Source organism: Homo sapiens, chromosome 1 (genome assembly GCF_000001405.40).
Source record: "Homo sapiens chromosome 1, GRCh38.p14 Primary Assembly".
NCBI classification, from domain to species: domain Eukaryota; kingdom Metazoa; phylum Chordata; class Mammalia; order Primates; family Hominidae; genus Homo; species Homo sapiens.
Window position 1 is genome coordinate 84478927 of NC_000001.11, and position 27734 is coordinate 84506660.

A 27734-nucleotide genomic window follows, 5' to 3' on the forward strand; every position below is an offset into this window, starting at 1 on the left:
CATACCATGTCTTACTCTGTAGCTCACCATAATTTATTTGTATGCTCATTTTAGGTTTCCCTCAAGTAAAACGTAAACTAATCCAGGCACGGTTTTTGTTGTTGTTCCATTATTTTGAGGGCTGGGCACATAGATGCGCAAGGAGTGCCCAAACTCATCATCTCACTCTTTATACAGCTGGGCAAACTGCCTAAAGTTTCCTCAAGCCTCAGCTTTACTATTTTCTTGAATGGCTAAAACTCACAAAACACATCTAGCGTCAAAAACTTTGCGACCCCGGAAGTAAAAGGTTAAGGAAGGGGGTCACAGGAGAAGGCTATTTCCGTTTCCGTACGGAAGCAAAGGAGCCAAGACCATGGCGAAAGCCGGGGATAAGAGCAGCAGCAGCGGGAAGAAAAGTCTAAAACGGAAAGCCGCTGCCGAAGAACTTCAGGAGGCTGCAGGCGCTGGGGATGGGGCGACGGAAAACGGGGTCCAACCCCCGAAAGCGGCTGCCTTTCCGCCAGGCTTTAGCATTTCGGAGATTAAAAACAAACAGCGGCGACACTTAATGTTCACGCGGTGGAAACAGCAGCAGCGGAAGGTACGCGAGAGGCGGGGGCTGCCGGGCGCTTGCGCGTTGTTCCTGACGCTTAGGGCGGTCGCGGGGCGCACATCTGTGGTTGTCTGCTGGTCTCAAAAGTGTTCTCTGTGGCTCCGTGGGAAGGGTGGCGTCGCGGCCCACGTGTTCTGGTCCCCTCGCCCTAGTTTGGAGACTCTAGGTTCAGCCTTTTGCCTGAGCGTCAAGGTGGAAGATTATCTTGATAGGCTCTTTCCTGGGACGCTAGATTCACAAGGAAAGCTGTAAGGCCAGTTGGCTTAGTAGTGAAAACTACGCCCTCCTGGCCCAGAAGGCAAAAGTCTCAGCCCTTTGGTCCGTCTAGGTAGCGTTGGTTAATTTGCAGAATCTGAAATGGAGGCAATACGTAATAAATCCAAAATACTGCTTCTCTGATTCCTGCAGGAGCTCCTTACCGAAATTAGTACTGTAAAGTTTCTGGTAATTGTATTTGTTCTTTTCAGCTTTATCCTTATACGTTTCTGGTAGGTAAACAAACTGAAACGTAAAGAGGTTTAAACGACTTGTCAAGGTCGCAGTGCTCATTTCTGGTTAAATTGCAATTGGAAGAAAACGTTTGCTTATTCTTGCACATCGTAGAAGTTCACACAATATTATTATTATGTGTCTGCCTCCTCTTACTGGCCCTTCTGAGGCCCGGGACTGGTTCTTACTCATGTTCAGTGTCAAGGTGCTGTTTCAATACATACAAGGGGCGTTTAACTCATTCTGGTATGCACGTATTGGGGAGGGATGTCCTGGAAGACTTATTGGAGCTATGATTTCTAATCTGAAACCTGGTGGATTGAGGATCAGTAGGTGCTGGGGAAAAAAGAATATTTTTTATTTTGTCAAGCATTCTATCTAGAAATCTCCAGAAGAATATATAGATTGACAATACAAATACAGATAATCTTAAGCCACCTTGCAAGCTCTTACTAAATTTTAGAAGTATATTTTGATTATAAAATATGTGAATAACTGGTGATGGTTTTATGGAAAACAACCTGAAAACTCAGCTCCCATTCCTATTTTTAGTGCTTTTCAAGAGAAGCAAGCAGCATAACCATGGTCGTCTTTAGGATGCCACCAGTTAGGCAAAACAAAACACAGTGGAAACCATCACATACTTTAATTAATTTGAGGCTTTATGGAAAAAGGTTAAGCTACTCAAATTTTAAATGTTCAAACTTGCCAGTTTAGATTTTTTTAAAGGAGCAGGTCTTTGTTAAAGAAATCTTATTGATTGGCCAGCTCATTTGGCTTACAGTAATTTAGGTAGAAAACTCCACGTCCAGATGCTTATTTCAATAGATTACAAAGACCGCCCAGTTCGAGTATTCATAGCATTAGTAATTTGTAGTTTCAGTATGTGTTTGTGATATAACTGGTTGTTTCTCAGTATTGTTCTCTTTTTTTTTAACCCTTTAGGAAAAGTTGGCAGCTAAGAAAAAACTTAAAAAAGAAAGAGAGGCTCTTGGCGATAAGGTAAATAAAATTTTTAGCTGTTTGCTTTCTATCTTATATTAGGGAATCCCTCCTGATATTTAAGTTGAATTACTTTCTTTTAAAATTTATTATTACGTATTTCAGATGTATGAAGAAATACAAAAGTAATATAATAAACCTCTTTGTATCATTTACCCAGCTTAAGAAATAATGCATTAGCAAAGAATGTTGGAAGCCCCTCGTCTGCTTCATAATTGCTTTTCCCTCCGAAGATAACCACTCGTGAAATTTTTGATTATTTTTTCCATGCACTTCTTTTACCTTTACTGTGTATGTTTGTGTACCTATACGGTAACACAGTGGTGGTATTTTGCATATAACTTTGTGTTTCAGAGGTCAACACCTCTCCCTGACTTTGGGAATGGGGAAGCTCCCCCAGGTTAGGCCTGGAGCTTGGCTCTTGTCATGTGAAGCAAAGATTTTTGGTCAGGCAAGGCTGGGGAAAGGCAGGACAGATCCTCTTCTGGAGTAGGGTGATAAGGGTGTGTTAAGCTTTAGAGCTGGTACAGAGGATATGAACCTGTGAAAAGTGAGAATGGGGAGTGGGAGGACGGTGAGGATTATGGCAGAGAAAAGAGCAGATAATGCATCAAGAAAGAATTTGGCTGTATTTGTGGTACTCATAAGAAGTGAAATCTTTATTGAAAAAATTTTTTAAACTACTAAATGCTCATACATTATTGCATAGCTAAGTTATTTTTATTTTCAGTGTATTTATAGTTACTCCTAGGTTGTGATTTATTTTTGCAAAATTTTGAAAACATTCATGTCTCCGCCTCCCATTCAAGTAAGTTACCAAATAAGGGTGTTTGAGGAAGGGAAAAAAATGTAAAGACAGTATACAAACTAAACACTCTACTATTTCATACATTCTTTGAATAGTATTAGGTTAAACCATAGAAAATTGTCAATAGTAGACTGTTTTGACCTGCAGTATCCTAGTATGTCAAGCATGTTAGTCTCTTTTTAATTCTTTTGTAATCAGTCTATTACAGCAAATTAATGTTATGATCACCATTTGAAAACACCACCATTCTTGTTTTTTGAGATGAAAGATAACTTCTTAAAATTGCCTCCTTTAAAAAATGCTTAAAATGTAATATTTGTTTCATAGAGTAATAAATGCTAGTTTCAGTTTGTATTTTCTTCATAGCTCTGCTAGTGTACATATATTTTGAATTAGTTTTAATGTACTCTTACAATTCTGTGTTCTACTTCTTAGCAATTCATTTACACCATTTCTTGGTCTAAGCTGAGTATGCATGATTGCTGATCCTAACAGTATTCCATAATGTTGATGTACTGTAGTATGTTTAGTCATTACCTTGTTGAACATTTGCCCTGTTTGCTGTTTATTTGCATTATAAATAGGGATACTATGTATTTCTTCGTTCAAATTTCTCCCCCATTTACATTCCTGAACATAAATACCCCAAAGTAAAATTACTAGGTCAATGGATAACAACTAGACTTTTGTTAAATATTTCTGAGTAGCTTCCTGAAAGTATTGGAACAAAGTCATGTACGGATGTCGCTTTGTTATTTTTTTCTTTTATTTTTCTCCTGTTTGATGTGTTTCCCCCTAGTAGATAACTATCTTGATCTCTATTTCTTCTCCTTGTTACTTCTGCACAGTTTTAAGCCTTTTCATTCAGTGTTGGCCATTCTTCTAGTATGTGTGTGTCTCTGCCCAGATTGTTTAAAAAAAAAAAAAAGCCTCTTATTCAATATTGTTATTAGAATTGATGTAGCAATAGAAGTGGATTGATATGAGGAACAGATTGAGTTTGGGGTTATTTGTAGCTTTCTGTTATTTTTCTCCAACAGTAATATAATTAATGTAAAATCCTTCTAAAATGTAATCCCTTCTCTTTTACTTAGGCTCCACCAAAGCCTGTACCCAAGACCATTGACAACCAGCGAGTGTATGATGAAACCACAGTAGACCCTAATGATGAAGAGGTAATGTTAGAAGTCTTAAATTAGTTTGAATGATCACATATAATTGATAAATTATATGTTTTTTTGTTGATATTTAAAGTGCTGGCTGGCCAAGTTGCATAATGGACTGATTCAGCTAAAATGTTGGCATATTATCTTATTATTTGGTGAAGACTATTTCATAATTGAATTTCCCAATAATGCTATAGAAAAATTCTATAAAAATTCTAGGTAAACTTTTACATTTGTCATATAATCCCTGAATGGTATTTTGGAGGGTTTTGTTTTTGTTTTTGTTTTTGATTTTGTTGAGACAGAGTCTTGCTCTGTCGCCCATGCTGGAGTGCAGTGGTGTGATCTCGGCTCACTGCACCCTCTGCCTCCCAGGTTCAAGCAATTCTTCTGCCTCAGCCTCCTGAGTAGATGGGATTACAGGCACCTGCCACCACGCCTGGCTAATTTTTGTATTTTTAGTAGAGATGGGGTTTCACCACGTTGGCCAGGCTGGTCTCGAACTCCTGATCACAGGTGATCCGCCCGCTTTGGCCTCCAAAAGTGCTGGGATTACAGGCATGAGCCACTGCGCCTGGCCTGGTGGTTTTAAAAGAATTCCTTGTACTATCGACTTTTGTAGTATTTGTTAGACATTTTGATACCTAAGAATAACATTTGATGCTATTTTTTGTATTCTCATAAATCTTAGTTTCAAGATAATCTTTCACTTTGCATATTCTCCTTAGATAGTTGGCAACAGTGCAGAAAAAGAAGCAAGATTTTAAAACTATATTTTTAAAAGTTTTGTAAAGGAAATTTGGTTTCGAATGTCTGTTTGCTTTGAAACAGTGCTGCTATCAACATTCTTTCTCATATCTCCTGGTATAGTCATACACTGATTTCTGTCATTCTTTCAGCAAATGTTTATGGATTTGCCTGCATCGTATTGGGATCTGTTTTAGGGATTTGAGATCCATCAGTACACAGAATAGTCACACACATACACATACACACACACAACTTCTACCCACCCAGAGCTTACATTCTAGGAAGGGAGACAAACAGTAAACATAATGAAATAAATAAGTTAGACATATGTTAGCCAGTGATAGCTTACTAAAGGAAAATAGGATAAAGGAGATTCAGGACTACCTGGAGTAGAGAGGGTTTGCAATTTTATGTAAGTAAGGTGTTTGTGTGTGTATGCATTTTAATTTATTTTGACATTATTTCAGACTTAATAGAAAAGTAGGAATTTGTACATACCCTTCACCCAGACTTCCTAAATATTCCCTCTTAAATAAGAGTAAGTGGCAGACATGGCGCCCCTTTATTCCTATATATCTCATTTTGTTTTTTATGAGCACAGTTAGCAAAATCAGACATTGATATTGGTATTCAATATTATCTGTTCTATAGATCTTACTCAGATGTCACTAGCTGTTCCAATAATGTCCTTTTTAGCAAAAAAAAAAAAGTCCCAGGTCATACATTCCATTGTAATTACTCTTTAACTTCCTTAAATTTAGAACAATTCCTCAGTCATTTGCTTTTTGTGACATTGAGATTTTTTGAATAGTATAGACCAGATATTCTATAGAATGTACCTTAATATGAGTTCGCCTGGGGTTTCCTCTGATTATATTCAGTTTATGTACTTTTGACAGAAATACAGGTTGAGTGTCCCTTGCCTGAAATGCTTGGGACCAGAAGTCTTTTTTTTTTTTTTTTCTCCGAGGTGGAGACTTGCTCTGTTACCCAGGCTGGAGTGCAGTGGCATGATCTCGGCTCACTGCAACCTCTGCCTCCCAGGTTCAAGCGATTCTCCTGCCTCAGCCTCCCAAGTAGCTAGGATTACAGGCACCCAGCTAATTTTTGTATTTTTAGTAGAGACAGGGTTTCACCATGTTGGCCAGGTTGGTCTCAAACTCCTGAACTCATGATCCACCTGCCTCAGCCTCCTAAAGTGCTGGGATTACGGGCGTGAGCCACCGCACTTAGCCAGACCAGAAGTCTTTTTGGATTCCGGGCTTTGGAATATTTGTGATAGATAATGAGGTATCTTGATGATTGGACCCAAGTCTGAACACAGCATTTATTTATGTTTCATATACATCTTATACACATAGCCTAAAGGTAACTTTTTTATTTTTGGAGATGGAGTCTCGCTCTGTTGCCCAGGCTGGAGTGCAGTGGCACAATCTCTGCTCACTGCAACCTCCACTTCCCTGGTTCAAGCAATTCTGCTGCCTCTGGAATAGCTGGGACTACAGGCTCACACTGCCACACCCAGCTAATTTTTTGTATTTTAGTAGAGATGGGGTTTCACCATGTTGCCCAGGCTGGTCTTGAACCCCTGAGCTCAGGCGATCCTCCCACCTTGGCCTCCCAAAGTGTTAGGATTACAGGCATGAGCCACCCCACCTGGCGTAAAGGTAACTTTTATACAATATTTTTAATGATTTTGTGCATGACACAAACTTTTGACTGTGACCCCATCACATGAGGTGAGGTGTGGAATTCCCCACTTGTGGCGCCATGTTGGTGCTTTATCAAAAAGTTTTGAATTTGGGAATATTTCAGGTTTTGGGTGTTTTTGGATTAGGGAGGCTAACCTGTGCCATGAATATTATGTTAAGTCCTTTTTCAGTACTTCTTACCAAGAGTCACCTGATAATTTTCTCATACTGGTTATGTTTACCTTGATCACTTGGTTAAGGTGGTGCCTGCCAGGTTTCTCCACTCTGAATTTACTGTTTTTCCCTTTGTATGATAATTAGTAAGTATTTGGGGAGGAGATAACTTGAATGTTACTCCTCAACTTAACACTCATTGTAAATCATTTTTTCCAGTTTGATAAGTGAGAAATTGTATATCACTGTAGTTTTAATTTGCAGTTCTCATTTTGAATGAGGTTGAACATCTTTTCATATTTTTTTCCCCTTGATTGATTGATTGTGTCTCTTGCCCATTTGTCTACTGGGTAGTGATTTTATATAGGAAAGTCAGGGTAGGCTTTATTGAGAAATTGACCTTTTAGCAAAGACTTGAAGGATGTGAGGAAATTAGCCATCTTTGGGCAAAAAGAGCCCCAGAATGAGAGAACACCCAGTGCACAAGCTCCAAGGCAGGAGTGTATCGAATATGCTTTTTAAGAATAACAAGGAGGCCATTGTGACTGAAATCAAGCAAGGGAGAGAATTGTAGAAGAGGTCCTAGGAAAGTATGATGAAGAAGAAAGACCAGATCAGTGACTTTGTTGGCCGGTATGAGGACTTTGGTTTTATACTTAGTGAAATGAAGAGCCACTGGGTGGGTTAGAATAGAAGAATGACGTGGCCGGGCACAGTAGCTCACGCCTGTAATCCCAGCACTTTGGGAGGCCGAGACGGGTGGATCACGAAGTTAGGAGATTGAGACCATCCTGGCTAACGTGGTGAAACCCCATCTCTACTAAAAATACAAAAAAATTAGCCAGGTGTGGTGGCGGGCACCTGTAGTCCCAGCTACTCGGGAGGCTGAAGCAGGAGAATGGCGTGAACCCGGGAGGCGGAGCTTGCAGTGAGCCGAGATCGCGCCACTGCACTCCAGCATGGGCGACAGAGCGAGACTCCGTCTCAAAAAAAAAAAAAAAAAAAAAAGAATAGGAAAATGATGTGATCAGACTTAATTTTTAGAAGTAGTTGGCTGCTTTACTGAGAATGTAGCTGGAGAGGTAAGTAGAGAAAGGAAGCTACTAAACAAATCCAGGAAAGAAATGATGGGCTTTCATCATGACCTGGGCCAGGGTAGTTACAATGAAAGTGGTGAGAATTGATCTGATTCTAAATATTTTTTCCCCTGGGTATATTTTGAAATCAGAGCTGCTTCAATTTCCTGACAAATTGGATGCAGAATATGAGATAAATAGAGGATTCAGAGATGGTATTAAGGTTTTAGACTGAGCAAATTAGAAGGATGAAATGGTCATTGACTAGATGTGGAAGACTGAGTGAAGGAGATTTAAGGGGAAATCAAGAGTTCAGTTTTGCATATATTATGTTTGAGATGACTCAAGAGTTTTTAGAAGAGATGTCAAGCAGGTAGTTGGGATGTGAGCTTGGAATTCAGGAAAGAGGTCTTGAGATAAATTTGGGGGTAACAGGCATATCAAGGGTGTGTGTACATAAAGGTTTCCCTAGAATGTTTACCTACAGTAGGATAATTTTGAGTCATGGAATGTGTAAATGTTTAACTTTACATAATTGTACCAAAATATTTTTCAAAGTAGTGGTTGTATCATTTTATACTTTTGTGGTACAAGAGTAGTGTTCCTGCTCATCCACATTCTAACCAACTCATGGTATGTTCAGACTAATGATAAAAGGCTGTCTCATTGTGGTTTGAATTTGTATTTCCTTGTTTTCTAATGTTGAGCATCATTTAATATAAGTTGTTTTCTTTAGAGATAAGCCAGTTCATGTCTTTTGCCCAGTTTTCTATCATGTAGTATATTTTACGCATTTGTGGAACTTCTCTATATAATTTGGATACCAATTCTTCATACATATTAAAGAAATCTTCCAATTCATGAATTCTCTTTTTATTTTCTATGGTGTCTTTTGAGGACCAGGACCAGAAGTTCTTGATGTAGTTGAGTTTTTGAAAAATTAGCACTTAAAGCTTTTTATGTAATATTTAAGAAACTTTTCTCTTTCCTGTGATCATAAGTTCTTCTTTCCTTCTAAAATAATTAAAGAGTTGCCTCTCGTATTTATTTGCTTGATTGTCAGGAATTGTTTTCTGTTTGGTGTGAGAATGGAAACCAGTTACTTTCCTTCCTGTCTCCCCAACCTGTCCTTTTGCATATATATATTTTGAATTAGTTTTAATGTACTCTTACAATTCTGTGTTCTACTTCTTAACAGTTCATTTATATATAACCAGTTTATCCAGTACTGGTTATATATAACCAGTAGTTATATTTTTGGAGTAGTGCAGCCTTTCCCCACAATGAATTGTAATGCCATGATATATATCAAATATCTATATATGCTTGGTCTTTTTCTGGGCTATTTGCTTCGTCAGTTTGTCACTGCATCATTAGTTAATTATTTAGCTTCATAATAAGGCTTCATATCTATAAGGGCAAAATGCTTCTTTCACTCCTGCCCCTAAATCCCCTCTCTTCAGATGTGTTTTGGCTTTTCCTAGGCCTTTGCTCCTCCATATAAATTATAAATGGCACTAAATCAGATCAATTTGGGGATACGTATGTATGTATATAATATATATTTACTTAGGTCTCCTTTAAATAGTGAAATGTATTTCATGTATTTCGTAATTCTCTTCATGGAAGTTGACACATAAATCTTGCTAGAGCTATTCCTGGATATCTTACAGTTTTTGTTGGTGTAAACTGCATGTCTTTGAAAATTGTTTTGTTAGCCAATTTATAAAAATGCAATGGATTTTTGAATAGTGATGTTCTAACCAGTAGCCTACCTAAATTCATTTCTAATTTGTTGGGATATCGTTTTCATTTTTCTGTTTAGATAACCATTTCTGCAAATGACAGTTTTCTTATTTTGACCCATTTTTCTCCCATTTTTGTGCCTTCTAGAACTTCTAGCCTAATGTCAAATAAATAGAAAAATCAACAGTGCCATCTTTGCCACGTTCCTGATTTTCAAAAGAATACTTCCAATGAGTCAACATTAATATTTGTGTCACTAGAGATAGATTATTATGAGTTAAGGGTTAAGTAAATTTTACTTATTCTTATGATTTTGTTTTGTTTTGTTTGTCATGAATGAATGTAGAATGTTATTAGATGTTTTCTTTGCAAATATTGAGGTGATTATGTGGCTTTTCTCTTACTGCATTAAACATCATAACCAAATTGGATTTATTAATTCTTTGCTTAGAATTAATTATATCTGTGTTCATGAGTGAGACTACAGTAATGTCCACTTTTCGTTCCTAATATTATTTTATTTTGGCTTTTTCTCTTTTTTAAATCAGTTTTTACCAAGATATCTATTCTCTTAGTCTTTTCTGAGTACTTTCTTCTTTGATCCTGTTGAATCTTTGTTTTCTAATTCATTTATATCTCCTTTTATCTTTATTATTTTCTTCTGCTTCCTTTGAGTTTATTCTGTATTTATTGATTTGCTCAATATATATTTTTTCTAATATGAGCAGGTATAGCCATAAAACTCTTTCAGACTACCACTTTTGGTATATTCCACAAATTTTAAAAGGTACTACTTTCATTAATGTTTAAATCTGAGTGTCTCTCAATGGAAGATTTGTCTTCTCGTAATTTCATTAGTTTTTTTTGGTTCTTTTTTTGTTTGTTTGTTTTGTTTTTTTTGTGGTTATTGTTTTTACTAACCAAGTTGATGAGGGAAATGAAAGTAGTTCAAGAGTAAACACATCTCAGTTTCTGCCCTGAAGTGATTTCTGACAATTTTATTCAGTTTTGTACTTGTATTTTACACAGGAGAAATCCACTCATCCATTCTCTTCACGTGTCCATTAATGTCAGTCCTTCCTAGTCTGTCTTTAAAGCCCCTATCAGCTAGATACTCAGTGTCCAACAGTCCTGCTGATGCTACTTTTAGAATTCTGGCCCAGTAGAGTATTTCTTTGATGTAAAATTATTCCTCTTCTCTGTTCTCAGGTCGCTTATGATGAAGCTACAGATGAATTTGCTTCTTACTTCAACAAACAGACTTCTCCCAAGATTCTCATCACAACATCAGATAGACCTCATGGGGTAAACACATTGATTAATTTAGTTCTTGAATTCTTAATTTTCTTATTACTTCTATTTAAAGTACTCTGTTCAGAAGAGTTAAACCATTAGTTAATTGCCTTAAAGAATGCCTGTGACTAAGTAAATAAAACGTAGCTCTGGTAATATGATGTAGGTTTACTAAACATGATTCTTCAAGATAGGATTTCTCAACCTCAACATTGTTAACATTTTAGCTGGAGAATTCTTTGTTATGGTGAGCTATCCTGTTCATTACAGGATGTTTAGCAGCTTCCCTGGCCTCTATGCTTTAGGTGCCAGTAGCAACCACACACCACTACCACTACCATCAGTCATAACCATCAAAAATGTCTCCAGACATTGCCAAATGTGTCCTCTGATGGAGCAGAATCGCCCCTAATTGAGAACCACTGCTTTAGGATGATCAGCCTTTGATAAAAGAGGACACACTGTTCGAGTTTCATGCTTTCCTCAATGTTGCTTTCTATTAATCATAATAATTATTATTTCTTTCCTTATGAATATGTACCACATAAGATTTTTATTCTTTTTTGAAAACTATTCAAAATTTTTGTTATTTTGTTTTGCAGAGAACAGTACGACTCTGTGAACAGCTCTCCACAGTTATACCAAACTCACATGTTTATTACAGAAGAGGACTGGCTCTGAAAAAAATTATTCCACAGTGCATCGCAAGAGATTTCACAGACCTGATTGTTATTAATGAAGATCGTAAAACCCCAAGTATCCTTTTTTTTTTTAAGGAGGTTTTCCTGTCCTCTCCCTCACCCCCCTTAAAAATATATTTAAAAGAATAAGGAAATATTGCCTATAACTTTCAGAAAATAATTTTTTTATCAGAAAATTGTATCTCTTTCCAAGAGTCTATAAACTGATTTTTCCTTTGTATTCACCAAACATTTATCAGGCACATGCTACAGCCAAGAGATTGTTGTAACTCTTAGTAAAAGATGCAGAGCTAAAACAAGAGACAACCAGGAAATTCATAGGTGGAGTAAATGGATATGTAAACTGACAAAATATAGTGTGGATGGTACAATTAAATAGAGAAATGCAGGATATAGTGGGGACCCTGTGACTGGTACAAAGTCTGCCCTGGGAGGAAAGACTTCCCATAGAAAGAGATGCTGAAGCTGGATCTAGATGGATGAGGGTGAAGGAGGGGAATAAGGCAGAGAAAAGCGCTCAGTGCAGAGGGACTACCATTTGGAAAGAGAGGAAGGAAAGGGCTGACCTAGTTGGGGATCTGCATATGGTTTGTTGTGGCTAGATTTTACATTGCCAGAGGTGGTATCACAGGATTAAGTTTTTGAGGTAGAGACTTGGGCCCATGTTATGTGTGTGTTCCAGTCTAAAACTTTTTCTGTGAGTCTCAGACCTGAGATGAATGTGTCACCTGAACCCAAGGTATTTCTTCCTGTTGAGATAAGAGATTTGATAAAGGATATCTAGGTTTGTTATTATTGTTGCTGTTTTATTTATTTATTTATTGAATGATGGCTATGAGTTCAGTAACCTTAAAGATGACCAATTGAATGAGTCATCTTTATGATTTTTAATTTCATTAAAATAAAATTATAAAGAATTTACAAAATAGGGACAAGACTTTCTGTGCTGCCAGAATAACATTTTATTTCTAATATCAGTGAACACTCTATTAGTGGTTTAAAAGGCTGTTTTTAAAAAATCTAACTTTTATGACTTTAATTGTTATCAATATAACTTACTTTATCCACTTGTACTAGTAGCTTTCCAGAAACTACTATAACAAGCTTTGTAATGTGTTTTGTTGGCCATATTATAATTTGGCTTAACTGGATTAATGTACCAAAATATCTAAAATCTCTTGAATACTTAACTACTCCAGAAAAAAATTATTTTTAAGGTAGTTGCTGCCTCTTTTTCTTTTTTTAAACTGCCTCCACAAAGTGGCAAGGTCTGTTTTCCTCTTTTTATTTTTGGCAGTTAAAAAACAACTGTCATCACTTTGAGGCCACTAGTAACTCTGCTAAGAAGCAGGCATTCATCAATTCAATAAATGTTCTATCCCTGTTTTATCCAGGGTGTTTTATATAGTCACACAAATTTCACTTATACCATCTATTGCCTTTAAAAAGTTTACATTTTCTGGCCGGATGCGGTGGCTCACACCTGTAGTCCCAGCACTTTGGGAGGCCTAGGCCAGCAGATTGCTTGAGGTCAGGAGTTTGAGACCAGCCTAGCCAACACAGCAAAATCCCATCTCTACTAAAAATACAAAAATTAGTTGGGCGTGTTGGTGCATGCCTGTAATCCCACCTACTTGGGAGGCTGATGCACTAGAATTACTTGAACCCGGGAGGCAAAGGTTGCCATGAGCAGAGATGGTGCCACTGCACTCCAGCCTGGGTGACAGGGCAAGACTCTGTCAAAAAAAAAAAAATGGTGATTATCCTAGAGACTTAGCATGGGTTCAGGAATAAAAATCACAACTCCTAATGGTGACACATGGGGGGAAAGTTGAAAAAACAGGATTTAGCCTGTGGGAAAGTAGATTCTAGGAACATGGCGTCTTTCTAAAGACCATTGGAGGGGCTACTGTGTGGAAGAGTAGTGCTGAATGGTGAAAGTTAAAGGGATATACTTTTTTGACTTATTCTAAAATAGAATTTCATCAGCTGTCTAAACTGTAGAAACCTAGTAGTGGCTTTGAGTCAGGGCAGCTGTGATATCAAATACAGATTCCATTATTTTCTAGTTTTGTGATTTTAGTCACGTTTCTTAGCCACTCAATTTCCTCGTTTTTTAAATGTGGGAAATAATACCTATCTTTAGAGTTCCCACAAAGATCACATTAAATGTATTATGTTTATAAAGCATAGTGTCTGGCACATGGTAGGCATTTTAGTAAACGTGGTATAGTGAGAAGCATGTAAACTTTATCTGTACAGACCTACATCCTCTATTCATTATTTCTAAATGGGGAACTACTGTTATTTGAGGTAGGGTAATTATTTGTGCTACACTCTTGGCAGCTTCCAAGATGGTTTGCATTCCTGGCCTTTGGATTCTAAATGCCAGTAACACCTCAGTCATACTGACAAACAAAATGCCTCTGTACATTTCCAAATGTGAGCAGCTGTCAGCAGGGGGCTTAAGCTAGGTGCAGTCCCACCGTGGTTGAGATCTGCAGTTGCCTTAGTCTGATTTACTTAGGCTAATTTACTTGACCCTCTTCAGCCTCTTTTCCTCATTACTGAAATAGGCATGATGACTCCTGTTTTATGTGATTTGTGTTAGGGATTAGCAGTAATGTAAATAAAGCCTCTTGCACAATGCAGGTACATGGGAAAAGAAGTTATTTAGAAACTGGTAAGTTTGGGTTTTGTACTTGGCTTTTGACACAGACCACAATTTAGTGGGAATGTTCTAGAAAGGATTTAAGCCTTGATTTGGGCGTTGGAAGAAATGACTTTTATATCTCCTAGACCCCTTAATAAATACTTTTGGCTGTATTTCATGAAGTTTAGCCTGTGGTGAATCTTTTAAAATGATAGAATTCAAACGTTTGCTGATAATCTGATGCATGGTAGGCACTACTATCAAAAAAAAAAAAAAAAAAAAGATCTGCCTGCAGTCCCAGCACTTTGGGAGGCTAAGGCAGGTGGATCGCTTGAGACCAGCCTGGGCAACATGGCAAAACCCTTTCTCTACAAAAATTAGCTGGGCATGATGCCTGTAGTCCCATTTACTTGGGAGGTTGAGGTGGGAGGATTGCTTGAGCCCGAGAGGTTGAGGCTGCAGTGACCCATGGTCGTGCCATTGCACTTCAGCCTGGGCTGCTGAGTGAGACCGTCTCAAAAAAAAAAAACAAAAGAAAAAAATTCCCATCCCTACCTAAGTTTTAACAGATTAGTTGGGAAGAAAGGTGTTTTCCTAACTCAAAAAGTGATGAGTGCTGTGGTAGCAGAACTGAGAAGATTTAGATCTTAATTCTGACTACATAAAAAGGTGACATTTGAAGTAGACCATAATAGATGAGTAAAACGTTGCAGGTATTCAAAATAGCAGAAGCAAAAAATGCATGCTAGGATTCACATATATAGTACATAAGACTGTGAGTACCTACCAGTTAGGAAACAGGCTTGATGTGGGCATAGGGTAAATAGGTTGAAAAGGTAATTTGTGGCCACATTATGAGTCTGATACTAATGTCTTTTTTCTGTAGATGAGTCTGTGATGAGAGTAGTATGAAATTAGCTACAGCTGTCAAGACTGTGAAGGTATCTAGTTTGTTTTTCACTTAGCATGTGAGAAACTATGGTACAGATATAATGAAACAGCTGAGTCCCATAGCTGGTTACTTATAGAACCAAGGCCTAAGTCCAGACTTGATTTTACAATCTGCATTAGGAGATGTACTTGAGATGGTGAGAAAAAGGTCAGACCAACCACAATACTACCTTAATAATCTAGGTGGAAAATCTTGAGGACCTCACTAAGACAGTAAGGGTAAAGAGGATGCTAAGTGAGAACTTCTGAAGGTAAAAGCAGTTAAGATTTGGTGGGAGAGGGAGAAGCTGAAGATACCATAGCTTCTAATCTGGAGGAATGAGTGTTGATGCCATTGTAAAAAGATGGCAACATCTGCTTTGAAAGATACATATTAAATGCAGATAGACTTGAAACCATCTGATTCTGGCCTATTTAAGTTGTTGAATCAGATGAAATGTGTTTGAAAATTTCTCCTAAACTAGAAAAGCATAATACAAAGTGAAAGCCCTGTCCATTGTCATTAATATGCCTGCTTGTAATGCCATTAAGCAATAGCCAAGAATTACTCATGAAAAGTAAAGGTGTTTCAAGTGAAGGTCAGATTGTGCCACAAACTTGAAGAATATTATATAGGTAGCAACCTTAGTTTGCAGCACCCAGGACTTCTAGAGTCCTTGGGCTGCTAGTCCTGCTGGTTGTAGGTAGGTGATCTCACATTTCATTTGTAGTTTAGCATGTCTAGCATAATTCTCAGTTCATGGGAAATGACAGTCAGTGAATGGCTATTAATTGGTTTGTTGATTATAATTTGGGGTACAGTAATCCTAAGTAAGGGGTGATCTCTTGCAAAATACTAATAACCTTAATTTCATAGAGGAAAGTTTAGGAGTCTGGTCTCATGGGATGTTATTCAAAGTTGACAGCATATCGTGACCATACAAATGTATAAAAGTGACATTTTGGGGTTATACATCTTTAGAACGTGGAGGTAAACTCATACTCTATTTGCAGTGTTACATGATTATAGAATCACATCCTATTTTACTCCTAAGAGTAGTGGTCAATTAAATAGCTTTTTTTCACCTACTTTAGTTTAGGGTACCTTAAGATACCCTATTGAGCGTGATTAACTATTATATTGTAAAAAGAGAAAAAAAGGACTACTCTAGGTTAGTCTATATTCTTGAAAGATTTTGACTGATTTTGAGCTTTTGATATGGTAGGAAAATGTCACTTCAGAGGAATATGTACATCTGCCTATTCACTTGGGTACAGATTTTAGGGGCCTTTGGATGTAGAGGACCAGTTATTTAAACAATTAGATTTAGATTACAGAGTTCAATGTGTTTTTCTTAACTTTTATGAACAGATGGACTTATTTTGAGTCACTTGCCAAATGGCCCAACTGCTCATTTTAAAATGAGCAGTGTTCGTCTTCGTAAAGAAATTAAGGTAAGTTTTATACATTTCTTTGATTGGCATTGATCTCTTCACAATATTTATTTGATCAATAGATGCTGTATCTTATAGCTCTAATTTATTTTAATAATGGCATTTGTTCTCCTGATTAGAGCAGTTTTTAATCTATCAATTCTCTTGGGAGACTGTGGTTAAGTTACAGCCGGCAGGCAATAGTCTTCATTACTATGAAGCACGTTGATTTTCTAATAGGATTTTTTTGTTGTTGCATTCAGTGCATATTAAAATAATTTTAGATACATCTTATTTCATGGGTTTGATAAGCCATCTGTGGTAGTTTGTCACTAAAAAATACATTTTGCAAATTTGTCATGTAAATTTTGATACTTGAAATTGCATTGGGACGTATTGCCAATTAGCTTAGCCCATTGTGATATTTATTTTTCATTATTTTTCTAGAGAAGAGGCAAGGACCCCACAGAACACATACCTGAAATAATTCTGAATAATTTTACAACACGGCTGGGTCATTCAATTGGACGTATGTTTGCATCTCTCTTTCCTCATAATCCTCAATTTATCGGAAGGCAGGTTGCCACATTCCACAATCAACGGGATTACATATTCTTCAGATTTCACAGGTGAGGAAGGTAAACTCATTGAACTTTGATTTCAATTATGAAATATATTTTCAACATGAACTAATTTTCCAACATATTGTAGCAAGTATCATACAAGATAAAATGAATTATCTTTTGAACCCTGTCATAATGTTAAACAATAGCTCATTCAGACTAATTTAACTCTTTTTGTCTTTGAAGATACATATTCAGGAGTGAAAAGAAAGTGGGAATTCAGGAACTTGGACCACGTTTTACCTTAAAATTAAGGTCTCTTCAGAAAGGAACCTTTGATTCTAAATATGGAGAGTATGAATGGGTCCATAAGGTATGTGCTTATTGTTTAAAAAGACTAAGTCATTTTTAAAGTATGGGATAAGAGGGTGGGAGGAGAGAGAGCATCAGGAATAGCTAATGGATGCTGGGCTTAATACCTAGGTGATGAAATGATCTGTGCAGCAAACCACTATAGCACGTTTACCTATGTAACAAACCTGTACATCCTGCACATATACCCTTGAACTAAAAAAAAAAAAAAAAAAGATACAATATCTGGGTCTGGTGATTAACCTTGGCTCATCTGAAGTATAAACATTAGTGGTTCTCAAAGCGAGACCAGCACCATTACCTAGGAACCTATTAGGAATGAAAATTCTTTGGCCCACAGACCTACTCGATCAGCAATTTAGGGGGTGGGACCCAGCAGCAATCTGCTTATAAGCCTGTGTTATATGTGACTCTACTACATGTTTCTTGAGAACTATTGATAAGTTTTCTTAGAAGTTTGGAGATCATCATCTTAAATCATAAATGAAAACTTTTTTGTTGTTGTTGTTTTGTTTTTTTTGAGATGAGTCTCAGCTTTGTTGCCCAGGCTGGAGTGCAGGGGCGCCATCTCGACTCACTGCAACCTCCACCTCCCGGGTTCAAGCTATTCTCCTGCCTCAGCCTCCCGAGTAGCTGGGATTACAAGTGTGCACCACCACACCGGCTAATCTTTTCTATTTTTAGTAGAGAAGGGGTTTCCCCGTGTTAGCCAGGATGGTCTTGATCTCCTGACCTCATGATCTGCCTGCCTCAGCCTCCCAAAGTGCTGGGATTACAGGTGTGAGCCACCGTGCATGGCCTAAAACATCCTTTTCTATCTAGTATAAGCAGTACTTCACTTAGTAACATTTTACTTTAAAATCACACACACACAGTAACTGCCAACATCTTTTATATTAGACCGAAGACTGACTATTCGGGGTCTCGCACAAACCCGGTTTTTCAGCACTAGTGTTACTTATGAAGATCTAGGGACGTTAACTTTTACTGTCTTACCTGAATTGTTAATTATATTTTTGTTTTGTTTTCTTCCTCCACTCCCTTGCTTTCCACTTTCAGCCCCGGGAAATGGATACAAGTAGAAGAAAATTCCATTTATAAAGTACTGAGAGAATGATATTGGATTTTGCTGAACAGGCCTATCTTGAACTTTGGTAAATTATTTTTGACAGAATACTCTTTTCAAAATGGCATTTGCTGATTTCATAAACCTTTCACGTCTGGACGAATTACCAAATGCCATGAATTGCCACTGTGTGTTTATGTAGAAAATACAAATAAAAGTTATTTTGATGGCTTAGGTTTCCTTAAACTTAGTTCTCTTGTTTTTGGGTAACTGTGAATAATTAAGTTGGAATCAAGATTCAGATTAACTTTCCTATTTGCATAGAACACATGAGAGGAATAAAATGGTTGGTAAATATTGGCTAACCCTTGATTTTTATACCAGATTAACCTTGGATTCCCAGTGTCTGGCACAGTTTTAATAGCTTAAATGGAGGCCAGGTTTCTGGATGTTTTAACATTCTCTTAAGCCTTCAGAAGGGTAAAAAATTTAAAGCAAAATGATCTACCAGGGTTTAAAGCAAAGTTGCAAATTACTGAAGCTAATCTTTGCTTCCTGATTTTGAGGTTTTTGGTTTTTTGTGCCCACGTTGTGGGGAGCTCTTTTTTACCTCATTACATGGTGCTGTAGTACTCCATTCAGGCACTGAAACAAAGTTAACCCTATAAGTAACTCATGGATGGAAACCCGTAGAACTTAACAGCCTCCTCCTGACCTTAAAAGAATAAAGGTTCACAGTTTACCTTTAATTCCCTAGCAGTCTTGCCAGATGTATGGCATAAAGTCATGTGAGAAGAGTAGGTGGAAAAAACTGTACAAACTTAACCCCTTCAGGTGTTCAGAACAGATTAATATACCATGTATTTAATACCAATAATAATGCAAAATAAAAGTTTCATACTAAGTTTTATTGTATGCTGCTGCCAGTGTATATAAAACAATTACCCTTGTGAAATAGAAATTCATGAAAATTCAGAGAGGTAGATGTTAAGGACTGACGAAAGTAGAAGTTTGTATATTATGGCACATGTGTTACAGGGATAAGCTTTTGTACAGGCTTCAAATGTAGCTCTCTTGAATATTCACTGGATCATAAGGAGTGGTTTGGGAAACCTAAGATGGGGAAAAAAAAAAAAAGGTGAGTTAGGGTAAAGTATCAAAGAACATAGTTTTTAATTTTTTTCATGAATAACTTAAAAGAAGCAGGATGGGAAATGCCTATGGTCCAGTAACAGTAAAATCTTTCCCTTAATTTTCACAACCACTCTGATGTATAAGTCATTCCTGTTTTATAAACAGACTTACAGATTAACTTGCTAAGATTACTGCCAAAATACATTCTGTATATAATAAAAAAGGTTAATAAAACTCTCTTAAATCAAAAATCCAAACATCCTTAGAAAAATGAGCAAGACTATATTTAGCAGGGCAGTTTGGCAGTATCTAGTGAAGTAAAGGATGCAACCACACTTCTAGTTACCTAGATAAACCCAGACATAGAGAAACATGTACAAGGATACTGACTGTATTAGTATTTTAACAGCAAAGAACTGAAACAGCCTAAATATAACTCCGTAGGAGAATGGATAAACGAAGGTTTCTACATATGATGGAATACAAAGCTATTATAAGTTATGCCTTAAAAAATAAGTTATGTTTTCAAACCATAATATTTCAGTTTAATAGAGTATAAACTAAAAGATTTAAAAAATGAAAACATTAAATTGAAAAACAGTGTACTAAAAAATTAAAACATGAGCATACTAACTTTAGGATTAGTTATTGATATGGAAAGGTACAAAAGTGTTAATCTGAGATAGTCTGTGACAAAAATGTTGAAAAGGCATAAACAGAATGCTGTGAAAAATGTTTAATCTCACCTAAAATAGTGACAGAAAAGACTAAGGTTTGTTAGGACTCAAGGAAAAAACATTCTCATGTTTCTAGTGGAAGGCCAAAGTATTATATTGGCAGGGGATATCAAGTACAACGTTGTAAAAATGTTAAACGTTCACTCCTTTTTACTTCTAGAAACTTAATAGAGGTACTAAGTATATATAGATGTTCACCAAAATCTTCACCTCACTGTAACCTCAAATTTTGGAAACTTAAATATTCAGTGAAGTATAATTCCATCATAGTTTAGTACAACCATTAAATATCTTGTTTACAAAGAGTATTTAATGAAATAAATTCATTTAAAAAAGGCAGAATGAAAAACGGCGAATACTGTCAATAAGCCTGTCGTCTTATCTGCATTTTTTTGTGCATACATGTTCTACTGATTAACAGTTTTTAATCCTGTGTTATTCTATTTTGTTTTGTGTAAAAGAGGAAAAATTTCAAAAGCTGGAATCTCAAAAAAAATAGTAAAATTTCCTCTTAAAAGGAAATACAGGGCCGGGCACGGTGGCTCACGCCTGTAATCTCAGCATTTTGGGAGGCTGAGGTGGGCAGATCACCTGAGGTCAGGCGTTCGAGAAACGCTGTCTCTACCAAAAATACAAAAAGTAGCCGGGCGTGGTGGTGTGCACCTGTAATCCCAGCTACTCAGGAAGCTGAGGCAGGAGCACTTGAACCTTGGAGGCAGAGGTTGCAGTGAGCCGAGACTGCGCCACTGCACTCCAGTGATAAAACTGTATTTATATACATAACTCCAATGTAGATTCTTTACATTCATGCCACTCAGTGTAGGTCCAGTACTGTCAGCATCAGTGTAGGTGGGCAGTTGTAAGAAATGCAAGTTCTAGGGACTCACCTCAGACCTTCTGAATTAGAATTTGCATTTTAACAAAGTGATTTGCATATATTCAAGCTTGAGAAGCAATGCTTTGATGCCCAATTATTATTCTCCTAGCCCAAACTGCTGCAAATCTTAATATCCACAAAGCTGTTTTCTTATACTGCTGGGATTAATAGACATTATTTTACCTTCTGGGTTCTTACCCCCAGCCATATTTTTAAACTTGAGCAATTCATTTAAACACTTATCTGTAGATTCCTATGAAGTAAAACTATTAACAGCTGCCCAGTATTTTATTCAAATGAAAATAAACCACTGTAAAGTGAATACAAGAACTGAGGTTAAAAAAACAATCATTAATAAACCATAAAAATATGAAACTTCCAAAAACTACCATGAAGAATTAAATGAATAGTACCAGAAACAAAGGATATTATAATAAACTGTTAAATATGAAAGTGAATTACTTCTTCATGTGCATTTTTGTGCACATGACACCTGTTTTCAAAGGGCTTTTTTTCCCCCTGGTATTTCAAAAAACTTAAACATCTTAACCAATCATTGTATTTACTGGAAACATGTACTTATACAGACTTCCTGGACACTCCCAGGTCTAGGAAGCTTAATTAAGGAGGGCACAACTATGTAACAAGGTATTTTAGGAAGCAGCTTCCTGGACTTTGGAGAAGTCAGAAAGTTAGTAAGGGGTGTGTGCCATATACAAAATCTTTTTTAAAAAAGTACTATTAGTTTAAGTTTGCTTCTCATAGGTCAATACTAATGAGTACATTCCCTAACTAAAGTACTAAGAATTTATAAAAGGCAGCACCCTTCAGTTACATTTTAAATGATCCAAAACGTTTTTGGTCACATCTCTTAGATTAACATACATTTTGTACACATGACATTTGATCTGGAAGGCACAAATTAATGTACTGAAGCATGCTTTAATAAAGCCAACAGGGTCTTTAGTTTTTAATTCTCTGAAATTCAGTCCACTGTCTGTTTGCCACCAAGAACTTATATACTGCATTTCCTTCATGTTTTATCTTTAATCTAACAAATGAGAACAAAATATAAAGTCTGTTCTACCTCAGTCCAAACGCCTCTACCACACTGGCTTACTCAATTACATCTGACTTTCTCTTGCATTTCCAATTCCCAATCTTTGCTATACTGCTCTACAGCTGGGTTCAGTTAGAGCAATAACATCAAGAGTTAATCCAAATCAGTTGGTAGTACTTTAAGTTATCCCCATAAACATTGCAGATTTTTTAAAAACTGTCTAAATATTTGCCAGGTACACAAAAACAAAACTAGTACTTGGGGACTCCATTAGGCCAATGCTCTAAAAAGTAACACATGGCTTGTTACGGCAGTGGGATTTTGTAGTAACTCTCCTATACCCTCTTTATGGTTATTAAATCCTCTACTTAACCTTCTTTATGGTAAAATAGAAACGATTAGCCTTCATGGCTACTAAGTCAGCAAGTTTCATGAATCCTCACTTTCCTTGCAAAACAGAAAAATACTGGAAATGGAGGGCCAAAGGAAAGGGCATGGGATGATCTTTTAAGTGCTGCAAAGAAAGAGAAGACTAGTTATTCCTACAGTGTGGGTTTTTGTTTTAAATTTAAGGAAACTTACCTTTGAAAGATTCATTTTACTACAAAAAGGAACAGACTTTCTGGGGTCTGAAGGGATTTGTACTTGAAGATACTCCAGTCAGCAGAGGGTCATGTTGAGCATTCTGCAGACAGAACTGTTTCAAGTCTGCAGCTGCCTGGGAAACCTATACATAACAAAGAGGGGGGGAAGTGCCAGATGGTGAGAACATTTTAATGAAGGTTTTCTCAATCTTTGGAAATATTGTACTTACAATAAAACAGTACTTCTCTTGCTTCAAAAGAAGATACTATATAATAATTGAAGACTTAAGTCAAATAGTGAGCTCTTTTTTTTTTTTTTTTTTTTTTTGAGACGGAGTCTCACTCTGTTGCCAGGCTGGAGTACAGTGGTGCGATCTCGGCTCACTGCAACCTCCGCCTCGGTTCAAGCGATTCTCCTGCCTCAGCCTCCTGAGTAGCTGGGACTACAGGCGCACGTCACCACGCCCAGCTAGTTTTTCTATTTTTAGTAGAGACGGGGTTTCACCGTGTTGGCCAGGATGGTCTCTCTCTCTTGACCTCGTGATCCGCCCACCTCGGCCTCCCAAAGTGCTGAGATTACAGGTGTGAGCCACCACGCCCAGCCTAGTGAGCTCTTAATACTTAAAACTAGTGCTTGCAAATAAGACTGATTTAATTAAGTATGTTTTCTTTTGCTTGGTTACTAGAAGCATCAGATGACTGAGTACAAACAGTAGAATTATGTTGATTTTTGCAAAGCGTAGCACATCTTGCTTATTAATAATAGGCTGTTCAAGTGCAAACCTGAGGGTACTTAACATCTTATTAAAAACATTAAGGGTTAAACAAAAAGCAATAACATTCTAGCAAACTATTACTTTGTCTTGAAAGCAGTATTACTGGAAAAATGCTACTGTGAATGAACATAATGTGGGATAACTAGCACATAATTTAGAAAAGCCAACACTAAGAATGCATTCAGTATACTGATCCTCAAATTTATCAGACCCTTATACTGTCTTGCATTTAAACTAAAACAAATTAAAAGAGGCATGCATTCATTCACTTAGACATCTACTATTTCTATATATTCTGCTAAGGTGATGTAGGATATAAACAAAATAACCATAAAGCCATTGAAGTTCCTTAAGTCCTGTTTGGGTGGCTCTGTATATGTATATTAACACTTAAATCATATTTAAGGCAATAGTTTCTTAAAGGCAGGCTGCTCAGAAAAACTGTTAAATTGAAGTTTGCTAGCAGCCTTTCAGTCACGTGACACTGGGCAGAAATCTGTCACTGTCTAGTTTAATAACATTAACGGACCCGTTCAGACGTGGAACATGAATGACTAAAACATGCCCCAAATGCATCTAATATCTGAAGTCTTGAACTGAGATTTAAAAAGTGGGAGAAATACTCATTTATTTTATTCTCAGTCTTTATCCGCAAGGAGGCTGGGAGCAGGTGTCCAGTCCATCCAGCTGGATATGTGGCCTCAGGGAATTAATAGCATCACAAATGCTCTCTATACCAAGAACCCCTGCAGATTACAGCTGTACCTCCAACCTAATAATTCTTCATCCTAAGATGAATCTAAACGCTTATCGAATCTATTTGTGTGTTTTGCTTATACAGCAGTCCAGAGTAATGAGTTCCATAGGTTTATTAGCTCCTATGTAAAAGAAGTATTTTTACAAATGACTACACCCCCTCATCCCCCGCCTTCCAAAAGAAGTGTAGCTAAAGTAGGGGAACAATGGTGTCATTTTTCACCAAATATTGTAATAGTGTTTAGTGTTTTCATTCATATTAACCAGCAGGAAGCATAAAGAGTACCTGTTAATTTTCTGTTTAAAGTGTAGGTGGGGTCCAATGTAACTCGCTTTCACAATTTTCAAGCACCACTATGTGCCGCATATACTTACAGGCACTAAGAATACATAAGAACAGCCAGAGCCCTGTTGTTATGGAGCTAACAGTTCAGAGAAAATGACAGACAAGGTGCTCTGTAGTAAAATGAATAATCTTTTAGATGGTGACTGGGTGCCCACCTAAGGGAAGGTGTCTGAGGTGACATTGAAGCTGAGATCTCAATGACAAGAGATCCAGCCAAATAACCATCAGTGAGAAACAGCATTCCAAACAGTGAGGAAAGCTGAGACAAAGACTCTAAAACTGGAACAAGCTGCTAGCCCCTAAGGCACTGTAACAATCACCATCCAGGAGGTTGAAACCCTGTAATCCTGGCCTATTAGTGCCCCTTCTCACTCTCAAAAATGTCCTGACCTACCTATGACAGTTTGTCAAGCACTTATGGTAAGTTCTATCAATTGTACTCACACATAAAGGTTAAAAGTAAGATTGTGCTAGTTTAAAAATCTCACAAAAAAATCACCTAGCCCAGTCATTGATAAAACAGATACACAACGTTAAACCACATTTAGCAACATGTCTAAAGAAAAGCTCATTAAAAAGTACAAAAGGGGATGCTCCCCTTCTTGCTACAGCCTTAACATCAGGCAATAACTCCAAAACCAAATCATGTCTGGTGCCTTTAATGATCCCGACCAGAACCAGAAGTCTACTGAAGATTTAGGTAGGATCAGTTTTGGGGAATTAGGGGAGCAGCAGCTAGGGTTTTCAAAGTAAAGCTCTTGGAGTATTTTAGCCTGAGAACCTCATGTCATTTTCTTTGGAGACTAAAGATGTACAATTTATTGCTTTCACTATCCCACCCCCATTTTTTTTTCTTGGTCCATCCTATCTATGATAAAGGCACACCTGAATGACATTTAATGGTTACGAAATAAATGATTTCGAGTTTCAGAGCCAAATCCAGCCAAGACTGACTAGAAACCACTGTGATGAGGTAAGAATTGGGAGAGTAGAGAAATGGATTCCAAACTGCAGTGAGGTCTACAGCATTTCAAGGACTGGACGTGAGGGGGATCCCACACCAAGACGAATGAGAATTCCCTTCCCTTCTGAGTTGACCACAACTGAGTAAGCTAGGTCCCTGACATTTCTAGTTAACAAAACTAAATGGGAGACTCTCTCTCAGGAGGATCCTGCACCAAGACGAATGAGAATTTCCCTTCCCTTCTGAGGTGACCACAACTGAGTAAGCTAGGTCTCTGACACTTCTAGTTAAGAAAGCTTAGAGACCCTCTCAGTTCACAAAACATTTCGGCAAGTAATAAAGACTAGCCTGATGAGTATAAAATCAAATCATCTTAGGAACTGGCTGCTTTTAACAGGGCACATGATTTACATTCTTGTTTCTTTTTTTAACTGCAGAAGTGTTTCACATGTAGCCTGACCTATTGTACCAGAAAGAAGCCAATCCATTTAGGACTGTAAAAATCAGGAAATACTTAGAACAGCACTTGAATGTCAAGTTATTCTATCAACACAGACAAAAGGCTTTTTCTCCCAAAGTACCCCAAGACAAGGCCAATACTAACCAGACGCCAAAATAAGACCAATAATTACCCACAATAATCATTTTCTCCGGCATGCGGACCAGTCGATATCCCCAAGGTCAAATATGAGCAAACTGTGCCATAGGTATGAAATGCACGCTTTGTTCGAGGTTGTACGGGGCACTGACCGGAACTTTACACTCCAGGATCGTTTCGAAAAATGCTTATTCAATCCACAGTTTAAGTTATGCAATAATTCGCTTAAAAGTATGTGTTCAACGGACAAGAGAAGTTGAAGGTAAGAATTTAATACTAAAGGAAGTAGGTTTGGGAAAGATCAAATGGGAGAAAAGTCTGCTCTGAATCAAAAGTCGGAAAATACCCTGTCCGATGAGAAACAGGAGGCTGGCAAAGTGGGAAAGGAAGGGTGCGGACAGCGCGCGGAGGCGCAGCTGTTGGTGAGACCAGCCGAGAAGGCTGCCAAGGGAGGTAGAGACGGAGGAGGACCGGAATGTCGGCCACGGTTCAACCCAGGGGCCAGCCCGCCTCGGAAAGTCCTGGGGCGGAAGGGCGAACTAATCGTCCCCCTAAAACACAGCGTAGACCCACGCGGCGCCTGCTCTAAAGCTGGCCGCTCCCCGATCGCCGCCGCTGAGCGCGCGTCCTCTCCAGGGGAAGCGAGGGCCGGCGCGTGTCCCGCCCGCCCCCGCCAGCTGGGCCGCCGGATCCCACCCGCCGCCGCCGCCTTCCTCCCGCCTCGGCCGCCCGCCCCCGCTCACTTTTACGCGGTTGAGTCCGGCCTCCAGCCGGAGCTGTTGAACCACTTTCTTCATAGCGGCGACGCTGGAGGAGCCAGACATGGTGCACGCGACGGCCGGGCCGATTCGTGGGTCGGTGGGTCGTGGGCCGTGGGTCGGCGGGGCCAGACAACTCAGCGGCGCGCGGCGGGGGCGGGGCTCCGAACTTTGTCTCTAAGTTTCCGGTTCTGTGCTCAGCGGCTCCACCCTCGGTGCGCATGCGCGCCTTGCCAGCCCTCTGTTCCAGCTCCACACCCGGCCCCGAGCGCGAGCCTGGAGGAGGGGGAGGAGAAGGGGCGGAGCAGTCGGTGGGCGCGGCGGCTGCTGGAGGCTAGCGCGACCCGACTCTTAAGTTTTCTTTTCCTCTCCAGAGGGGCCGATTAGGGAGAGGTAAGGAGAGAGCTTACCGTTAGCCGCGAAGAACTAAGAGGGGGTCTGAAGAGGACCAGGGAGGGAAGGCAGAGCTTGTGGGAGTTTCTAAAAGGCCCGGCGGCGGGTGACCAGGAGGTCTCAGTTTTCCTCCCAGTTTGTGGGAAGGGTTGAGGGAAGTGAGGGGAGATACTGGGTGAGGCGTAGGAGCTACTGTGCACCCGGCGTGAGTCACCCGCACACCCCCGCCCCGTACAGGCGTG

At 38.4% G+C, this 27734-nt stretch overlaps 3 protein-coding genes across 18 annotated transcripts in view, besides 6 other annotated features; 2 read left to right on the plus strand and 1 right to left on the minus strand.

Annotated features, from left to right (window-relative positions):
* Window positions 1–561: an enhancer, noted in NCBI's record as "OCT4-NANOG-H3K27ac hESC enhancer chr1:84944610-84945170 (GRCh37/hg19 assembly coordinates)". NCBI's record gives its function as "activates a minimal SCP1, AML or CMV promoter by ChIP-STARR-seq in primed H9 embryonic stem cells {active_cell/tissue: H9 hESC(primed)}" and the evidence as "EXISTENCE:reporter gene assay evidence [ECO:0000049][PMID:30033119]".
* Window positions 340–19426, plus strand: RPF1 (ribosome production factor 1 homolog). The gene is made up of 9 exons (NM_025065.7): window positions 340–583; window positions 2030–2086; window positions 3989–4069; window positions 10707–10802; window positions 11393–11546; window positions 16447–16529; window positions 16956–17137; window positions 17318–17444; window positions 18503–19426. Exons 1-9 carry the CDS (start codon window positions 356–358, stop codon window positions 18542–18544), a joined length of 1050 nt encoding a protein of 349 aa, NP_079341.2. The 5' UTR covers window positions 340–355; the 3' UTR covers window positions 18545–19426.
* Window positions 757–916: an enhancer, noted in NCBI's record as "active region_1251". NCBI's record gives its function as "activates an Ori minimal core promoter by ATAC-STARR-seq in GM12878 lymphoblastoid cells {active_cell/tissue: GM12878}" and the evidence as "EXISTENCE:reporter gene assay evidence [ECO:0000049][PMID:35858748]".
* Window positions 15170–15219: an enhancer, noted in NCBI's record as "active region_1252". NCBI's record gives its function as "activates an Ori minimal core promoter by ATAC-STARR-seq in GM12878 lymphoblastoid cells {active_cell/tissue: GM12878}" and the evidence as "EXISTENCE:reporter gene assay evidence [ECO:0000049][PMID:35858748]".
* On the minus strand, window positions 19399–27655 carry GNG5 (G protein subunit gamma 5). Its single transcript, NM_005274.3, has 4 exons — window positions 27510–27655; window positions 27085–27375; window positions 22900–23044; window positions 19399–19622 (listed from the first exon to the last, which is right to left on the minus strand). The coding sequence occupies exons 2-3, from the start codon at window positions 27163–27165 to the stop codon at window positions 22919–22921; spliced, it is 207 nt and encodes a 68-aa protein (NP_005265.1). The 5' UTR covers window positions 27166–27375; window positions 27510–27655; the 3' UTR covers window positions 19399–19622; window positions 22900–22918.
* Window positions 24756–25261: an enhancer, noted in NCBI's record as "NANOG hESC enhancer chr1:84969365-84969870 (GRCh37/hg19 assembly coordinates)". NCBI's record gives its function as "activates a minimal SCP1, AML or CMV promoter by ChIP-STARR-seq in naive H9 embryonic stem cells {active_cell/tissue: H9 hESC(naive)}" and the evidence as "EXISTENCE:reporter gene assay evidence [ECO:0000049][PMID:30033119]".
* Window positions 26921–27050: a silencer, noted in NCBI's record as "silent region_1019". NCBI's record gives its function as "represses an Ori minimal core promoter by ATAC-STARR-seq in GM12878 lymphoblastoid cells {active_cell/tissue: GM12878}" and the evidence as "EXISTENCE:reporter gene assay evidence [ECO:0000049][PMID:35858748]".
* Window positions 27301–27380: a silencer, noted in NCBI's record as "silent region_1020". NCBI's record gives its function as "represses an Ori minimal core promoter by ATAC-STARR-seq in GM12878 lymphoblastoid cells {active_cell/tissue: GM12878}" and the evidence as "EXISTENCE:reporter gene assay evidence [ECO:0000049][PMID:35858748]".
* SPATA1 (spermatogenesis associated 1) overlaps window positions 27460–27734 on the plus strand; it is a 60994-nt gene continuing 60719 nt past the window's right edge. For all 16 annotated transcript variants that reach the window (XR_007057962.1, XR_007057965.1, XR_007057967.1 and 13 more), the window contains exon 1: window positions 27460–27492. The gene's annotated coding sequence lies outside the window, so the exon portion shown is untranslated. The remainder of the gene's footprint in view (window positions 27493–27734) is intronic.

What these genes read in the sequence shown, in the direction of transcription:
- RPF1 (NM_025065.7), top strand. Translation starts at nt 356, where the DNA reads ATGGCGAAAGCCGGGGATAAGAGCAGCAGCAGCGGGAAGAAAAGTCTA. An exon ending in GGAAACAGCAGCAGCGGAAG is followed by an intron (nt 584 to 2,029) that starts GTACGCGAGAGG and finishes TTAACCCTTTAG; the next exon opens with GAAAAGTTGGCAGCTAAGAA. An exon ending in TAGACCCTAATGATGAAGAG is followed by an intron (nt 4,070 to 10,706) that starts GTAATGTTAGAA and finishes CTCTGTTCTCAG; the next exon opens with GTCGCTTATGATGAAGCTAC.
- GNG5 (NM_005274.3), bottom strand. Translation starts at nt 27,165, where the DNA reads ATGTCTGGCTCCTCCAGCGTCGCCGCTATGAAGAAAGTGGTTCAACAG. An exon ending in CCGGACTCAACCGCGTAAAA is followed by an intron (nt 23,045 to 27,084) that starts GTGAGCGGGGGC and finishes TGTTATGTATAG; the next exon opens with GTTTCCCAGGCAGCTGCAGA.